The sequence below is a fragment of the Homo sapiens genome, chromosome 7 (assembly GCF_000001405.40).
Source record: "Homo sapiens chromosome 7, GRCh38.p14 Primary Assembly".
In the NCBI taxonomy this organism is placed as follows: Eukaryota; Metazoa; Chordata; class Mammalia; order Primates; family Hominidae; genus Homo; species Homo sapiens.
In genome coordinates this window covers 35,099,328-35,119,065 of record NC_000007.14, presented here as the reverse complement: position 1 = coordinate 35,119,065, position 19,738 = coordinate 35,099,328, and the positions used below count along the sequence as shown (strand labels likewise).

At 36.4% G+C, this 19,738-nt stretch overlaps 1 long non-coding RNA gene and 1 pseudogene across 3 annotated transcripts in view; one reads left to right on the top strand and one right to left on the bottom strand.

Moving 5' to 3' along the window:
* Positions 1-19,738, top strand: part of DPY19L2P1 (DPY19L2 pseudogene 1) — a 106,187-nt pseudogene that overhangs the window by 67,110 nt on the left and 19,339 nt on the right. The window contains exons 16-19 of the transcript NR_002833.3: positions 1,272-1,318; positions 12,998-13,022; positions 14,303-14,422; positions 15,975-16,149. The product of NR_002833.3 is annotated as a DPY19L2 pseudogene 1 (transcript). The remainder of the gene's footprint in view (positions 1-1,271; positions 1,319-12,997; positions 13,023-14,302; positions 14,423-15,974; positions 16,150-19,738) is intronic.
* Positions 7,984-19,738, bottom strand: part of LOC105375228 (uncharacterized) — a 74,297-nt gene continuing 62,542 nt past the window's right edge. For both annotated transcript variants that reach the window (XR_001745162.3, XR_001745164.3), the window contains exons 2-3: positions 16,509-16,600; positions 7,984-11,738 (exon numbers count right to left, since the gene is read on the bottom strand). This is a non-coding gene — a long non-coding RNA (uncharacterized LOC105375228). The remainder of the gene's footprint in view (positions 11,739-16,508; positions 16,601-19,738) is intronic.

Below are 19,738 nucleotides of genomic sequence, written 5' to 3'. Positions count from 1 at the left end.
CTTGGTCTGGGTGGAGTTTTAGCTAAAAGCATGGTTAAAGACAGTGGGTATTTTTTTAAACAGTCTTGAGCCATCTTTATTTATGTTACTTACAAGCTATCAAGTCTTAAGCCAGTATGTATTTATTGTATACTTTTAAGCAGATAACAATAACGCAATTTCCCTACCACCATACCAGTTGTGTTCTTGTTGAAAGTTTTCTGTATTTACAGTCAAATTGCATATCTTCTCTATGTAGTTTTAGTTGCCACACTTCTCACTCCTTTGTTTACACAGAGATGTGAATAATTTAGGAGTGAGAAAGGCATCTCCCTCGACACCTCTGTGGTTTCACCCTTGATCCAGTTCCCTGCGGACCACGTGGAAAGAGTCAGGATAAAGGAAACAAGGAGGAATGAGTAAAATGTGAGCAGGTTTACCGCCCTGCATCATTTTGGCCCATGCTGGCTTAGAATGAAGATTTTCTCTACTGGCCTGTTTCTTTTCCATCAAGGCAAAATGTCGAGTTATTCTTCTAAGGCTCCACTTAGAGGGACCAATGCATGAATTAACTATTCAGTGGAGAGTCAGCAATGTGAGAGAAACTGATAGCTAGATCCGCAACTCCTATATTTTAAAAAATTAAGATCCAAGACTTATAAATACATTCCTAGTTTCCAGACACACCACAACCTGAATTATGCATGTGCACTAGCAGGGGCATGTGCATACACACACACACACACACACACACATACACCCACACACACGTCCCTGCAGCCAGTCAAGTTTCATACACACACACACGCACGCACACACACACATACAAACATCCCTACAGCTAGCCAAGTTTCATACATGCATACACACATACAGACACACACACACAAATCCCTGTAGCCGGCCAAGTTTCATACACACACACACACACACACACACACACACACACACACACACTCTTTCTCTCTCTCTCTCATCCCTGCAAGCCAGCCAAGTTTCACTCCTTCCTTTCTGCTTTCTTATAAACCCCCCAGTCTTTATTTGTCCTATTGCGGCTTATTTTTCACCCCAAGGATACTTCTGATGGTCATTTAGTTTTCAATGATGTGAAGTCACTTCTCGGAAGGAGAAAAGGAAGGCATCTTATAGTATGACTGTCCTGTTCCTGAGGACTCCCTTAAACATTAAAAAATACTTCTTTCTTTGGCGGAGTGTTTATATAAATGAATCAGAGCATTTTAAATATTGCAGTATTCCTTACAAAAGTTTCATTGATTTGATTCTATTCACAGACTGTTCGTGATATTTCGTGTGTTTTAGCTACAAACATTTATCTAAGGTAATTATATCATCATTCTTTTTAAAACATACAGTATTCCATTATTAAATAACATACTATAACATTAATTTTTCAAATGAATATGCATTAAACTTTAGCATTATGATTAAGAAAGGAGATATGAACCAAACTTAAATGTTTCCTTAAAAATATTATTCTTACAGATTTCTTATATGTATTTGGACTTGTTTTGGAGATATTTATATTTGTGAACTAACTCAAAGTTTAAATTGATAAATTATAATATATATTAGAATTTAAAGTCAGTAAGCTAAAGATTTATTTATTTATTTTTTCATTATTATTATACTTTAAGTTTTAGGGTACATGTGCACAATGTGCAGGTTGGTTACATATGTATACATGTGCCATGCTGGTGTGCTGCACCCATTAATTTGTCATTTAGCATTAGGTATATCTCCTAAAGCTATCCCTCCCCCGTCCCCCTGCCCCACAACAGTCCCCAGAGTGTGATGTTCCCCTTCCTGTGTCCATGTGTTCTCATTGTTCAATTCCCACCTATGAGTGAGAATATGCGGTGTTTGGTTTTTTGTTCTTGCAATAGTTTACTGAGAATGATGATTTCCAATTTCATCCATGTCCCTACAAAGGACATGAACTCATCCTTTTTTATGGCTGCATAGTATTCTATGGTGTATATGTGCCACATTTTCTTAATCCAGTCTATCATTGTTGGACATTTGGGTTGGTTCCAAGTCTTTGCTATTGTGAATAGTGCCACAATAAACATACGTGTGCATGTGTCTTTATAGCAGCATGCTTTATAGTCCTTTGAGTATATACCCAGTAATGGGATGGCTGGGTCAAATGGTATTTCTAGTTCTAGATCCTTGAGGAATCACCACACTGACTTCCACAAGGGTTGAACTAGTTTACAGTCCCACCAACAGTGTAAAAGTGTTCCTCTTTCTCCACATCCTCTCCAGCACCTGTTGTTTCCTGACTTTAATGATTGCCATTCTAACTGGTGTGAGATGGTATCTCATTGTGGTTTTGATTTGCAGTTCTCTGATGGCCAGTGATGGTGAGCATTTTTTCATGTGTTTTTTGGCTGCATAAATGTCTTCTTTTGAGAAGTGTCTGTTCATGTCCTTCACCCACTTTTTGATGGGGTTGTTTGTTTTTTTCTTGTAAATTTGTTTGAGTTCATTGTAGATTCTGGATATTAGCCCTTTGTCAGATGAGTAGGTTGCGAAAATTTTCTCCCATTTTGTAGGTTGCCTGTTCACTCTGATGGTAGTTTCTTTTGCTGTGCAGAAGCTCTTTAGTTTAATTAGATCCCATTTGTCAATTTTGGCTTTTGTTGCCATTGCTTTTGGTGTTTTAGACATGAAGTCCTTGCCCATGCCTATGTCCTGAATGGTAATGCCTAGGTTTTCTTCTAGGGTTTTTATGGTTTTAGGTCTAACGTTTAAGTCTTTAATCCATCTTGAATTGATTTTTGTATAAGGTGTAAGGAAGGGATCCAGTTTCAGCTTTCTACATATGGCTAGCCAGTTTTCCCAGCACCATTTATTAAATAGGGAATCCTTTCCCCATTGCTTGTTTTTCTCAGGTTTGTCAAAGATCAGATAGTTGTAGATATGCAGCGTTATTTCTGAGGGCTCTGTTCTGTTCCATTGATCTATATCTCTGTTTTGGTAACAGTACCATGCTGTTTTGGTTACTGTAGCCTTGTAGTATAGTTTGAAGTCAGGTAGTGTGATGCCTCCAGCTTTGTTCTTTTGGCTTAGGATTGACTTGGCGATGCAGGCTCTTTTTTGGTTCCATATGAACTTTAAAGTAGTTTTTTCCAGTTCTGTGGAGAAACTCATTGGTAGCTTGATGGGGATGGCATTGAATCTATAAATTACCTTGGCAATTTTTGGAATTCCTCCCTCCCTCCCTTCCTCCCTTCCTTCCTTCCTGCCTTCCTTCCTTCTCTCTCTCTCTGTCTTGTCTTGTCTTGTCTTTCCTCTTCTCTTTTTTTTTCTTTTCTCTTCTCTTCTCTTCTCTTCTCTTTTTTCACAGAGTCTTGCTCTGTCACCCAGGCTGGAGTGCAGTGGCATGATCTCTGCTCACTGCAGCCTGGACATCCTGGGCTCATGCAATCATCTCATCTCAGCTCTGCCAAGCAGCTGGGACTACAGGTGTGCATCACCATGCCCAGCTAATTTTTGTATTTTTTTGTAGAGAGGGGGTTTCACCATGTTGGTCAGGCTTTTCTTTTTCCTTCTTTTTTAACTTTCAGAGGGGGTATAATTATTTGTGTTCCTGAATATTTATGAATTTTCTTCTAAACTTATTGTTAAAACTATTTATTGTATAACATTTTTGGATGCTTTTAGTAATGTCACTAGCATAAGCAGATGCCAGCAAAATGTATCATATCAGTCACACATAAGTAAATTGCTACAAGACTCAAGAAGTAAATTGTGAAGAAAATTTCCTTCTGAGGGAAATATGATCTCAAATGACATGTTTTTTAGTGTTCAACTTTTATTTTAGATGCAGGGGGCACATGTACAGGCTTGTTACATGTGTATATTGTACCCAGGTAGTGAGCATAGTACCTAATAGTAATTTTCAAGTTACATTTTATATTTGTAAATAGAATATTTGATTTTATTTTGTGACTTCTACTTTATAGAATAGTTTTAGATTTATAGAAAAATTGTGAAGACAGTAGAAAGAATTTCTATGAACTCCATACTCCATGCTTGTATTTTTAATAAACAGCTGTGTATGGTTGTCAGAAGAGCTAATTAAGCTCTTAGGTGCATCTGTTGAAATTGTTTCCAAAATAAAAGGGATAATAGACCCATTCTATATTGTTCAGGACAGATGGAGCCCAGGGAAATGTGTCTTGGCATTCTAAAAAAGAATGAATGGGGAACCCTGGACACTGTTCCCATAAGGAGTGCATGAAGGGACTTGGGATATTTAATTGGATAATAGAAGATTGAAGGGTATGTGGCAACTGTCTTCATATATTGCAGAGGGTGTAATGTGGAAGCGACAGACTCGGAGGGGTCAGTGGATGGAAGATAATTACTCAGAATATGGAAGTCTATGTATTGATTACATATTTGAAAGTGACAGGCCTGTTGTGTAGGGGCAGAGGGTTCCAGGTTAAATCTCAAAAATAATAATAGCAGGGGCTAGTAGTAATACATTCTGAAAAACCAGTGTATCAGAAAGAGAGGGAATACTCCCCTCTCTTAGATCTGCTCCCCTGGGTGCTGATTGTAAGTAGCTTTGTATGTTTTATTTTAGAAAACACATATAGAAACACAATATTTTTAAAAAATAGAATTGTATTCTTCTTATTCTGCAACTTGTTACTTGTATTTAATAGTGTGTCTTGGGCCTCTTCCTTGATCTTCATTATATTTTATAATGGTCTTAGGATTTTATTGTTGACCATCATGCGTGACTGCCTTTCCCATATCAATGAAAGTTTAGATTATATATAACTTTTGTCATAAAAAAAACCAATGTTTTGAGGATTGAACATCCTGGTTCGTGTATCTTGGTACACTTATTCTAAGTATTTCTATAGTATAAAATATTTGAATTTGGACTGCTGATTATGAGGCCTGCATATTTTAGAATTTGTTAAAACTGAGAAATTATAATGATGAGAGTGTCCATTTCTCTGCAACTCCACCAACATCGTTATCAAGCTTTTAATTTTTTCTGATAGGTAAAAACAATTCATTTTATTGTGTAAATTCTTTGTCAGTGGAGTTTTGCAGCTTTTCATGTGTTTGTTTACTATGTTTCTTTTTGACCTTTAAAAGTTGTTTTGTGGGTTTTTTTTTTGTTGTTGTTGTTTTGTTTTGTTTTGTTTTTTTGTCTCGCTGCTGTGTATGCAGTGGCACAATCTCTGCTCACTGCAACCTCTGCCTCTGGGGTTCAAGCAATTCTCCTGCTCCAGCCTCTGGAGTAGCTGGGATAACAGGCACCCGTCATCACACTCAGCTAATTTTTGTATTTTTAGTAGAGACAGGGTTTTGCCATGTTGGCCAGGCTGGTCTCGAACTCCTGACCTCAAGTGATCCAGCCACCTGGGCCTCCCAAAGTGCTGGGATTGCAGGCATGAGCCACTGTGCCCAGCCATGTGTTATGTTTTTGCTTTTTCCATAGACGTAACATTTTGTCTCTTATGTGTATTACATAGTTTCTTCCAAGATGTCAACTTATAGTTCATTTATGGTCTCTGCTTTGTAGAACTTCAAAATTTCTGTACAATCACAGTTATATATTTTTTCTGGGTTGATATGTTGCTTAGAAACACTTCCCTAAACCAAAAACATGAAAATATTTTTTTCATATTTTCTTTCATAAGTTTCTATTCACATATAGGTTATTTATTACTCTTGCATTAATTTTGTGGTATAGTGACATAGAGGAGTCTACCTTTCCCCCTCTAATGAGGTATTGTCCCATCACAGTATTGCATAAATCTTTTTTCCAAAAGTCAGCTTTTATCACTTACCAGTTCTCATTGTACTTGAGTCTGTTTTAGATTGTCTCTTATATTGATCTTTTAGTTTATAGGAAAGCTGCTTTACTTTTTTTTTTTTTTTTTTTTTTTTTTTGCAACACGTTTTTATCTAGCCACGTTACCAAACTTTCTTTCTGGTTCTAATAGTTTTTCCATTGATGCTCTGGATTTTCTAGGCAGGTTATCATATAATCTACAAATAGTAATAACTTTCTAATATTTATACTTCTTTACTTTCTTGTCTTGTGTATTAGCTAGAACTTCCAGAACAACTTTGAATTGCAGTGATGATGGGCTTGCCCTTATTTTGTTTCTGACTCTAAAGTGAAGAATGCCTTTAGTGTCTCACTGTTTCATTTGCTGTTATTATATAATAGATAGCCTTTATTTCATTAAGAAAGTTTCCTTGGCCAGGCGTGGTGGCTCACACCTGTAATACCAGCATTTTGGGAGGCCAAGGTGGGCGGATCACGAGGTCAGGAGATTGAGGCCATCCTGGCTAACATGGTGAAACCCCGTCTCTACTAAAAATACAAAAAATTAGCTGGGTGTCGTGGTGGGCACCTGTAGTCCCAGCTACTCGGTAGGCTGAGGCAGGAGAATGGCGTGAACCCAGGAGGCGGAGGTTTCAGTGAGCTGAGATCACGCCACTGCACTCCAGCCTGGGTGACAGAGTGAGACTCTGTCTCAAAAAAAAAAAAAAAGAAAGTTTCCTTTTGGTTTATATAAACCAGGATAATTTTAAAAATTAAATTAAAGATAGATGTTGAAAGTGTATAATGTGTGAATTGTAACTCAATAAAGCAGTAAAAAATGAATGTTAAATTTTTAAAAAATGGCTTTAAAAATATTTTGGGGATTATTTTATATTTTTTCTCCTTATTAATAACTACACTTGTTTTTAAAATTTGGTAAGAATGCTTAACATGTGATCTACCCTCTTAATGATTTTTTAATTGTATAATACAGTATTGTGGACTATATGTATAACATTCTATAGTCTATCTCTCGAACTTATTCATCTGGCTTAACTGAAACTTTAAGCCTGTTGACTAGTAACTCTCCATTTCCCCTCGTCTCATCCCCTGGTGACACCATTCCACTCTTTCACTCTTTTATAGTCATTTGACTTTTATAGTCAAAATGACTTTGACTATTTTAGATACCTCATGTAAATGGAATTTTGCATTATATACCTTGTGGGGTTGGCTTATTTTGGTTAGCATAATGCCCTTCAGGTTCATCTATGCTGTCTCACATTGAAGAATTTCCTACTTTTTTTTTAGGCTGAACAATATTCCATTGTTTATGTATGCCACATTTTCATTATTCATCTGTTGATGGACATTTAGTCAGTTTCCACATCTTGACTACTATGAATAGCACTGCAGTGAACATGAGAGTGCTAGTATCTTGTTGAGATTTTGATTTCAACTGTTTTGGATAAATACCTAGAAGTGGGATTACTGGATTTTATGGTAGTTCTACTTTTAATTTTTTAAAGATTTTTTTGGTGAACCTCCATCCTATATTCCATAGCAGGTGCACCATTTGAAATTCCACCTGTGCAGGGATTTCAATTTCTCTACATTCTTGCCAACACTTACTACCTTTTTTTTTTTGGATAATGTCTATCCTGACATGTACATTAGAGTTGTAATCTTTCTGCTGGTAGAAGGTCTTGCTTCAATGGTGATAGCTTCTGACTGATCAGGTGGCCGTAGCAATTTCTTAAAATAAGACAATGAAGTTTGCCACATTGATTGACCCTTCCTTTCGTGAAAAATTGCTCTGTAGCATACAATGCTGTTTGATAGCATTTTACCAACAGTAGAACTACTTTCAAAATTGGAGTCAGTCCTCTCAAACCCTGCCATGCTTTATCAACCAAATCTATGTCATCTTCTGAATCCTTTGTTTTCATTTCAACAGTGTTCACAGCATGTTCACCAGGAGTAGATTCTATCTCAAGAAACCACTGTCTTTGCTTATCCATAAGAAGCAACTCCTCATCCATTAAAGTTTTATCATGAGATTGCAGCAATTCAGTCACGTCTTCAGGCTCTACTTCTAATTCAAGTTCTCTTGCTGTTTCCACCACATCTGCAGTGACTTCCTCTGCTGAAGTCTTGGACCCCTCAGAGTCACCCATGAGGGTTGGAATCATTTTTAATATTATATGAGAAGAAAACATTCTAAGAAAATGACAGATAAAGTAGAAAATAAGTTGGAATCAACTGCTTCCCATCTCTTATTGATGTCAGTATTTTGACCTCCATCCATGAATCACAAATATCCTTAATGGCATCTAGAATGGTGAATCATTTCCAGAAGATTTTCAATTTACCCAAATCCATCACAGGAATCACTATCTATGACAGCTATAGCCTTATGACATATATTTCTTAAATAACAAGACTTGAAAGTTGAAATGACTCCTTGATCCAGCCTGCTTTCCTGCAACCTTAATCTCCTTGTCAATCTCTATCAGAGCTCTTGGGTGACCAGCCGCATTGTCAATGAGCAATAATATTTTGAAAGGAATCTTTTTTTCTGGGAAGTAGGTCTCAAGAGTGGGTTTTAAATATTCAGTAAATCATGCTGTGACAGATGTGCTGTCATCCAGGCTTTGTTGTTCCATTTGTAGAGTAGAGGCAGAGTAGATGTAGCATAATTCTGAAAAAAGGCCTCAGGAATTTCAAAGTGGTAAATGAACATTGGCTTCAACCGAAAGTCACCAGCTGCATTAGTCCATAACGAGTCCATTCTTTTTTGGATTTTTCATAAAATCAGCTTTTGGTTTTATTCCTTATATTTATGAAAGTTGTTCTCCATTTTATTAATCTCTGCTTACATGTTTATGTCCTTAGTTTTTCTTTTGGTGCACTTTTGTTGTTTTTCTGTGTCTAAAGTTCACATCATTTATTATCAATCATTATTGTGTCCTAGTAAATACATTTAAAGTTATAACTTTTTCTCTGAAGAAAATGCACACTGTATCCCATGATGTGTGTAGCATTACCATTAATGTTGATTTCTGTGTAGTCTGTGATTTGAGTTTTGATCATTTAATCCAAAATCACTTAGAAGAATGTCTTAAAATGTCTAACTAGTTTTAGGCCAGGTGCGGTGGCTCATGCCTATAATCCCAGCACTTTGGGAGGCCAAGGCGGGCGGATCACGAGGTCAAGAGATCGAGACCATCCTGGCCAACATGGTGAAACCCCGTCTCCACTAAAAATACACAAATTAGCTGGGCGTGGTGGCACGCACCTGTAATCCCAGCTACTCGGGAGGCTGAGGCAGGAGAATTGCTGGAACCCAGGAGTCGGAGGTTGCAGTGAGCCAAGATTGCCACCACACTCCAGCCTGGCAACAGTGCGAGGCTCCGTCTCAATAATAATAATAATGATAATGATAATTTTTAAAAATGTCTAACTAGTTTCTTCTGTTGTATATTTTGCCTTTAAAATTAACTTGCTATTTATTGAGATGGATGTTCAGTTTTAGTAAATGCTCTGTGAGGATTTTTTAAATGTTCATTTCTTATTTAGGGGAAGTTCAAAGTTACATGTTATATCATGTTATTAATAGTGCTATTCTAAATGGTCTCTTATTTTTCTACTTTTTCTGTTTTCTTAGAATGCTATCTTCACATGCAACATTAAAAATGAATTTTTCAAAATTGTCTCATAATTTTAATAGTGTTTGCTTTATATAGATAGTGCTGTTGTTCATTGCATGATTATTATAGGATTGTACTTTTATTATAAAGGATATTCTTTGCTTTACTTAGTGGTTTTTTGCTGTAAATTTTTCTTTGTGTAAAATTAATATTGCCACCTCTGCTTTCTTTTTTATAGATTTTCCTGGTTTACCTGTATTTATGCTTTTTTTTTTAACATTTTTGTGACATTTTGGTTTAGGTATATTTCTCATTGTTAGATTTTTTCTATTCAAATTCCTCTAATACTCGTTTTCTAATTGGTGAATTTAACCCATTTTCATATTAACGGTGATAACTGCTGTGTTTGTACTTCTCCCTGCCATCTGATTTTATGTTTTCTATTCATCATGCTTTTCAAAAATTATTTTCTTGATACTTGCTGAATTGTTAGCTATATCCCATTTCTATATTTCCTGGTGGTTTCTCTTAAATTATTAGCAAATATATTCATCTTGATATTAAGAATTCATCAGCATCTAAAACCTGTTACCACCAACGATAGTAGCTAACAGTTATTATTTCCTGTGTGTCTGACAGTATTTTAAGCTTCTTACCAGTATTAACTCAATAAATCTTCACAGTCACCTTGTGAGAAGGGAGTCAGTTATTCCCATTATTTACAGATGAGGAAACCAGTAAGAAGGTAAGTAATTTTCTGAAAGGCACACAGCCAGTGAGTAGTGGAGGCAGAATTCATACTCAGGCTCTGTACCTAGAGACCTGCTTGCTTCAGCACTGAGCTGTTGGAATATTTCTACTTGTCCCTGCCTAGACACCCTCTCCTTCCAGGTTATGCTGAAATTTACTTTCTAGATTGTTGTCTTATCTGTTATGTTTTAAGAAGTCTCTAAACATTTACATTAAAGACACCAGCAATCTTTGGACTTGACTTCAAATTTTACTGATTTATTTTTCCTTGACATGTAGAATTGGCATGCTTTCTGGGTGCTTTCTTACCTGAAAAATGGCTTTATTTTGCCCTCATATTTGATTGATAGATTGGTTAATAGATATTTGTGAGTTTCATTCAACATTTTGTTGACATTGCTTCTTTGTGTTCTAGCATTGAGCATTACAGATGAAAATTCCTATATAGTTTTTCTCTCTGGAAATTCATAAGGTTTGGAGGGGTGATGTGTGTGTTGTTGTTGTTCTCTTATTCTTTCACTTTAGCCTCTCTTTTTTGAATTTCTGTTATTGCTTTTATCATATTATCTATTTCTTTTCTTTCTGTGTTCTCAGAGAATATCATCACTGAGTCTTTAATACTGTCAGCTTCAGCTGTGTGCATTTTGCTCTTCAACTTTCTTTTGAGGCTTTAAATTAGGCAAATATATTTTTCTTAGAATTTCTGAAAACTCCTTTTCACTGGAGCTTATTTTAATTATATGGATGCATTATCCTCTTAAACTTCTGTGAAAACAATAATTGGAGTTTTCATTTGCATTAGCTGTTTCATGAAAGGTCAAGTTTTTTGCTTATTTATTTTGATGTTTCCTTTTCATGATATTCGTGTCTTGGGATTTGGTTGTATATTCACATTTTTAATTAGCTACTTGATTTAAATAAAGTATCAGTAGTTACTTTCAGGGTTCTTGGTGATTATAATAATTACTCACCTACCAGGCTTCTTCCTTGCATGCAGCTCACTACAGGAATCTGTTGTGCCTAGAAGATTTCGGGACAAGTGGGGAAACCACACTCCGTTAACTGCATACACAGGGAAGGAGCTACGAGGGAGATAGAATAATTTGGTCTCTACTATTACCTTAAGAGACCTTCCCCTGTCTTCGATTTAAAAAAAAATTACTGCATACAAAGGGTAGGAGCTACAAGGGACATAGAATAATTTGGACTCCACTACTACCTTAAGAGACCTTCCCCTGACTTCTCTTTTAAAAAACCTATGGGTCTCTGCACCCCTGAACTTACTTTCTACACCTATTTCTCTCTTCACCCCCAAAATCCATATTAGAATGCCCCTGCAGGCTATAAAGCCTTTCATAAAAGTAAAATACCCAGTCTTTTCAAGAGAACAATAAAATAGGCAGTCTCCTACCTCTTGTCTTACTCTAATATAAACTCCATGAAGATAAGTATTGTCTCCATACTGTTCATGCTGCACAGCAGTTGCCCTTATCTGCAGGGCGACGCATCCCAAGACCCCCAGTGGATGCTTGAAACTGCAGAGAGTAACACACGTGATTGCCACCATCGGAACACATTTCTGTGCACGTCTTCCACCCACAGATTTAATGCCTTTTCCGTCTTAACTAAGCACTCATCATGGACTGTGGCCATAACTTTTGCAGTTTTAGATGCAACAGCAAAACTAACATTAATTTTTCCTTCTTCTTCACAATTTCATGGGTAGATTTGTTCTTACCGTAGATCTTAGCAACCTCAGCATATGATGTTTTTTCTTTTGAGAACTTTCACCTTTTCCCTTAAAGAAAGCACTTTACAGCTTCTCTTTGACATATCTCAACTGCCATCATCACTGCTCTTGAACTTTGGGGCCATTATTAAGTCAGAAAAGGGTTACTTGAAAACAAGCACTGAGATACCACCAGAGTCCATCTGATAACTAAGATGGTAACTACATGACTAACAGGCTGGTGACGTATACAGCATGGATATGCTGGACAAAAGGGTGAGTCATGTCCCAGGTAGGATGAAGCAGGGTGACTTGAGATTTCACTATTCAGTGTGGTGCACAATTTAAAACTTAGGAATTGTTTATTTCCTGGAACTTTTTTCATTTAATATTTTTGGACTGCAGTTGACCACAGGTAACTGAAACTGTGGAAAGTGAGGATCAGAGGATAAGCAGGGACTGTGGTATTCATTTCATTGCACAGTGCCTAGAATACAGTAGGTGTACTATAAATATTTTGTAAAGGGACAACTTTGCTGAAACTGAAAATATTTATGTTTTACCCAATAATTTTTCTTCTGGAAATTTATGCTACGGAAATATTCAGAGATGCTTACAAAGTTTTATGCATGAGTGTCCGTGTTATTTGTAATTGTGAAAAATGAAAATAACTCAAAAGTTTAACAGTGGTCATCTAAAGTACTGTATACACTGTATATATAGGTCGAATAGAAGGTCATCCTATTCATTTATTAATGAGAGGTACAATCTCCAGGGATCTGTAAAATCTATTTTGTCTTAACCAAAGAACAAATTTTTGACATATCTTGAATAGGATGACTATAAATTATGACTATAAATTATGACTATAAATTATGACTATAACTTTTAAATTGTTATAATTTTTGTACTATTATCTGATATTTTTATTTTTATGTATGTTCCTAAGTAGTTTAGAGATAGTCACATTTTAAAAATCTAAGATCAAACAAATGAAGCTTATTTTTATGTATTCATAGTATAAAAGACCTTCAGTAAATAGATAATATTTTTGTTTTATTCTAGAAAACAGCTCCTTGAACACAGTGAGGTAAAGCTTTCATTTTAATCTCTGGTAGACTTGTGTATTAAATTCTAGTTTGAGGGTAATTGACAAAGGTATAACCTTGCTGCTGATGCACCATCAGTAGTGAGTTGTTCAGCATTTGTGATAAATTTCTGCCGATCCTTCTCACTCTTTCATCTGCTGTTACTTTTGAATAGTAATAAGGATTTAAAAGCTAGAAGGCTGATTTATGACTATAGTACAGAATTAAATTAAATTGCATTCATTTAACAATAACAAGCATTTGGTTTCTAGCCTGCTGAGCTAATCAGCTACAGTCCATTAGGGCAGGCACCCTTCGCCCTGTGACTGGTGGCCATCTGCCACCATGTAGATTTGCTGGTCAGTAAGTGACAAGCTCAGAAGTGTTGAAGGATACAAAAGATACTAAAGTCATGTTCCTGCCCTTCAGTATGTGTAATTTTACAAAGGAGACAAATAAGACAACATTTTATATGGTGTAAAATTATTTTGTGGCATACAAAGGAAAAGATCAGTGTGGGCTGGAAATATTTCCTATTTGATAGAACTTTAAGTGGGTCTTGAGGTAAAGGTCAAATTTACAGGAGTGGGTAACTGAATTTGAACTTAATAGAGATAGTTTATGACACATGTTGAGTATCCCTTATCCAAAATGCTTAGGACTAGAGGCGTTTCAGATTTCAGATTTTATTGAATTTTGGAATATTTACAATGTAGTTACTAGTTGAGCATCCCTAACCTGAAAATCCAAAATCCAAAATGCTTCAATGAGCATTTGTTTTAGCATAACCTTTGAACATCATATTGGTACTCAAAAGTTTCAGATTTTGGAGCATTGTAGATTTCAGATTTTTGGATCAGGGATGCATTAGTAACTTTGTCACTTTACAGTGAGGCCCACTGTGTTGGTCCTCCACCTCCTCACACCACCTCCTGCTCTCCCTAGCTCCTCTGCCTGCTCCATTTTCTTGCCAACTGCACTTATTGCCTTACAGTAGACTATGTAATGGATTTATTTATTTGTTATTTCTATGTATTGTCTTTCATTACTAAATGTAGTTAAATGTAATACAAGGACAGAAATTGCTCACTGCTGTATCCGAAGCACCCAGAAGAGTACCTGGAACATAGTAGACATTCAATAAATTATTGTTGAATGAATACTGATAGGCTTATTACTTAGAAGATCCTTGTCTTAATGAATAATATAGTTTTAATATACTTCATTAATTTAAAAATATGAAAAGTAACAATGTGATTTTGTCTTATTTGTGTTTTTATAGCTGGCTTTTCACACATTGCAGTTGTTAGCGTTTACTGCCCTTGCCATTTTAATTATGAGGCTAAAGATGTTTTTGACGCTGCACATGTGTGTTATGGCTTCCTTGATATGCTCTCGACAGGTAAGGGATTCATTCTTGTATAACAATACTATAAAAACTATAGCAGCTATACTTAGTAGTTACCGTGGCTTTGCTGACTAATTCAAAATATAAACACACTAAGTGTTTTTAACTTAACTAAGTTAAATGATTTAAAATATTACTTCATGATTCACTATAAGCAAGAAAAGCAATTTCAAGTGGCTTTGAAAAGTATTTCTGGATTTTAATTGATATTTCTATAACAAGTGATTAGGCAAACATTTCCCCTCTGTTAATATCCTGTCCATGAACACAACCTTTTAGAGTTCAGGTTTGTGTAAGAGTGCCTGGCACAGTGGCTCACACCTGCAATCCCAGCACTTTGGGAGGCCGAGATGGGCAGATCACTTGAGGCCAGGAGTTTGAGACCAGCCCGGCCAACATGGTGAAACTCCATCTCTACTAAAAATACAAAAATTAGCCGTGTGGTGGCGAGTACCTGTAATTCCAGCTACTTGGGAGGCTGAGGCAGGAGAATCGCTTGAACCTGGGAGGCAGAGGCTGCAGTCAGCCAAGATCGCACCACAGCACTCTAACCTGGGTGACAGAGTGAGACTCTGTCTCAAAAAAAGAAAAAGAAAAAAAAAGAGTTTCCTGGTGGCCAGGCACAGTGGCTCACACCTGAAATCCCAGCACTTTGGAAGGCCTAGGTGGGCGATCATTTGAGGTCAGGAGTTCAAGACCAGCCTGGCCAACATGGTGAAACCCTGTCTCTATTAAAATACAAAAATTAGCCAGGCATGGTGGTGTGTGCCTGTAATCCCAGCTACTCAGGAGGCTGAGGCAGGAATATTGCTTGAATCCGGGAAGTGGAGGTCGAAGTGAGGTGAGGTTGCACCACTGCATTACAGCCTGGGAGACAGAGTGAGACTCTGTCTCAAAAAAAAAGAGTTTCCTGGTTCACCAAAAGTACCCTGAAATACTCATCCAATACCAGAGTAGATGCAGAGTAATTGCCCTAATATGGTCCTGTTTGGCTTGAAGAATCTATAAGAAATTCTGGGGTTCTATCAGTGTTATCTAACATACAAAAGAACTAGATAAATTGCTAGAATATTGGGCCTAAGGTACTTCTACAAACACCTCACTTAGTTTTTATTATGAGTGTATAGCCTTAAAATATCATAATGCCTGTTTTCCTGAGAAGAATCTATATATATCATGCTAATAGGGCTTCCCTGTCTACTAACCATGTCCACAAAAGGCAGCCAAGGATGAAAGGATTTAGTTCTAAGATGTTTCACAGTTGTGATTTGTTTATTTTAATCCTTAGTAGTAAATTAGTACTAGAAGGATCAGGTATATCTTCCTTAATTCTTCCCAGGGGAGAGAAAGTCCCATTTTCACCTGGGCCCTGTAATGCCAATATATCCGTTGCTTTAGAAACAATCGGAGATGATAATTCTGTATACATGTGTGCTGATATCAAAGGGTAATTCACGTTGGTTTGAGTAACAAGGTGAGAATTTATTGTTGACCCTATAGTACTCTTCATATAAGAACTAGAAATAAATGGTTTCTTTCGTTTCAGCTCTTTGGCTGGCTTTTTCGCAGAGTTCGTTTTGATAATGTTATCTTTGGCATTCTAACAGTGATGTCAATACAAGGTTATGCAAACCTCCGTAATCAATGGAGCATAATAGGAGAATTTAATAATTTGCCTCAGGAAGAACTTTTACAGTGGATCAAATACAATACCACATCAGGTGTGTAGGTATTTGGTTATATGCTAGTTTTATACAAACATACAGACACATTTGTGTATACTATATATAATTATTGTCATTTCTGATATATGTATGTATGACAGATTTACAGATAGGCATTCATACTCTCACAGACTTTGAGCAGACTATTGCAATGTCAATCAATTAAACCCTTCCAAAAGGCAATTTTGCACCCCCTTTAAGCCCCTCCCAGATAATTATCAAAGAATTTAAATCAGCACCAGGAAATTAATGATTTTTCACAAGTTATGTCCTTTAACTCTCAGACAGCATTATAGCATTTTAACCATAACAATGACAAATCAAAGAAGTAAATCTTTAAAAATGAAATTTCACACCTTGTGCCAGACTACAGCAGAAGATACTTTTGATGGTGGGGAGTTAACCGGCACCGCTTCTGTCACTCCCATCAGTGCTGTCTCCTCTAATTCTGTAAAACAGGTCATTGGCAGAAGAGTTAAAATCTTGGATATTCTATTTTCTTCACTAAATCATCTCACAGAGATACTATACATCCTACTTTTAAATACTCCAAAATTTTCTTTTTAGCTTACCTTCTTTTCTTCCTGTCTTTATTCAGAACTACCTCAAGCAGATAGATATTTTTAAATACCTTTCCAGAGAATAAGTCTATAACATTTTCTGTAACTAAATTTGTAAATCAAAGATTATTTTTGATATTTAGAAACTTACTCTGGCACAAGTTCTTCACTATGATTTATTTAAATTTTCTTATGACTCCTGAGCTTGTTTCCTTTTATTTCTTATTTGATAGCCACTTTTTTGCTAATTAACCTTCATTAAGGTAAATCTTTATAAGCTTTAAGTAAGATATTTGGTCTATAGCTTTCAAAGGGTGTAGGTGACAGTGCCTCATTAAACTGCCAAGCCAGTTTAATTAGAATTTTAAAAGTAATCCCCAGCTGACTTTTTCCACATAGGAGCTCAAGGTAATCACTCCCTTTCTTTACTCTCCCTTGCCTGCCCCTCCCCAGTTATAGCTATTTTTCCCAAGCTTTTAAAAATAGCTGCCCTTTTAATCTTTTCTTGTGTCTTTCTTTGTTCCGGTGTTTGTATTGGGTTCCTGACAGAGAGCCTACATTTGGCAACTTATCCTTCTAAGATAACTGCCACAAACCCCTGTCTCACTTTTAGATGCCTCGTCTTTGATCTTCTTTTCAATCTGTCTTATTCTCCTTTTAATTACTCTTATTGTGAGTTATCTCATGGTTACCACATATTAAAAGCTGTAGGAAGTTTTGTAGTATTAGTGGAACTAGTGCTTATATTGAGGTCTGCCATATACGGTTGTATAGTTTGTGCACTGCACAAAGGTGACCAATTGAGAGGATAAGTGAAAGCTTAAATCCAGCTTGTGGTCCACTCATCAAGCCAGGTATAATGGGGCTCTGTCAAGTCAGGGGAATACCTTTTTCTAATCTGTGTAGTAGGCTAAATGGAGACTTCCATACAGTGATAGGAAAATATCTGATTTTTCCTTGTTATGCTCATTTACTTCACAGCCAAAAAGATAGAAAGTGGAGTGGGAGGGTATTTCTTCCTCTCTGTCTGCCATAGGTGACAACTCACTGGGTCCAGCTCTTGCTGGACAGGTGTGCCTAGTTTTTTTTGGAAGACCCTGGCCCTGGGCTTTCAATTCTTCTTACTCAGCATTTCCCAACCTTAGCACAGTTGACATTGAGGCTGTCCTATGTATTACAAGAAATCCTTGGCCTCTATCTACAAGATGCCAACAGCATCTCCTCCCTCCTCCCCATAGCATGACATCGAAAAATGTCTCCAGAAGTTGATAGTGCTCCCTAGGGAGCAAAATCATGCCTGCCTGAGAACCACTTCTCTAGCTTAACAGCTTGTCATCATTAATTATTGAGTCTCCAATAATAAATACACATTCTTTGACTAGCTTACATATTTTCAAATTTGAGGCATATAAAGAAATTTTCATTCAAAGTTGCATTTAGAATGCTTAGTTATACTGGAAAGTAAACTCTCAGGGTTCTCAAAGTTTTTAATTTATGTGGGTACAGAGCAGGTGTATATATTTATGGGGTAGATGGGATATTTTGATACATTGATACAGGCATACAATGTGTAATAATCACATCAGGGTAAATGGAGTATCCATCACCTGAAGCATTGATCCTTTGTGTTACAAACAATCCAGTTATACTCTCTCAGTTATTTTTAAATGTACAGTAAAATTTTGTTGACTACAGTCACCCTTCTGTGTTACCAAACACTACATCTTATCCATTCTATTTTGTTGGTGCACATTAACCATCCTCACTTCCCCTCCACCCCCTCACTATCCTTCCCAGCCTCTGGTAACCATCATTCTATTCTTGATCTCCATGAGTTCAACTCTTTTAATTTTTAGCTCCCACAAATAAGTAAGAACCTGCAAAGTTTGTCTTTCTGTACCTGGCTTATTTCAATTAATGTAATGACCTCCAGTTCCATTCATGTTAATGGATAGGATCTCATTCTTTTTTTTATGACAGGATCTCACTCGTTTTTATGTCTGAATAGCACTGCGTTGTTTCTATGTACCACATTTTCTTTATCCATTAACCTGTTGATGGACACTTAGGTTGCTTCCAAATCTAGGCTATTGTGAGAAGTGCTGCAATAAACATGGGAGTGCAGATACCTCTTCTAAATATTTATTTCCTTTCTTTGGGGTATATATCTAAGAGTAGGATTGCTGGATCATTTGGTAAGTCTATTTTTAGTTTTTTGAGGAACCTCCAAACTCTTCTACATAGTGGTTGTACTAATTTACATTTTCACCAAAAGTGTATGAGAGTTCCCTTTTCTCCACATCTTTTCCTGTCTTTTGGATAACAGCCATTTGTTATTGCCTGTCTTTTGAGTAATAGCCATTTTAACTGGAGTGAGATGCTATTTCACTGTAGTATTGATTTGCATTTCTCTGATGATCAGTGATGTTGAGCACCTTTTCATGTACCTGTTTGCCACTTGTATGTTTTCTTTCGAGAAATGTCTATTCAGATCCTTTCCCCATTTTTAAAGTGGATTTTTAGATTTTCTTTTCCTACAGAGTTGTTTGAGCTCCTTATATATTCTGGTTATTAATTCCTTGTCAGATTGGTAGTTTGCAAATATTTTCACCCATACTTTGGGTTGTCTCTTCACTTTGCTGATTGTTTCCTTTGCTGTGCAGAAGCTTTTACACTTGATGTGATCCCATTTGTTCATTTTTGCTTTGGTTGCCTGTGCTTCCCAGGTATTTACTCAAGAACTCCTTGTCCAAACCAAAGTCCTGGAGAGTTTCCCCAAAGTTTTCTTGTAGTAATTTCAGAGTTTGAGGTCTTAGATTTAAGGTTTTTTTAAAATAGATATTTAAGTCTTAATAAAGTAGATAATTTAACTTTAATAGGTGAATATAGCAATAACAATGTAGTATCTACTAAAAAAGAGTAACTTCCCTCCAAAAAAACATTTACAAGCAATGGACTTATAGATTTCCTTCAATAATCAAGAAATGTGAAATATCAACAAAATGTTCAATGACATAGAAAAATGG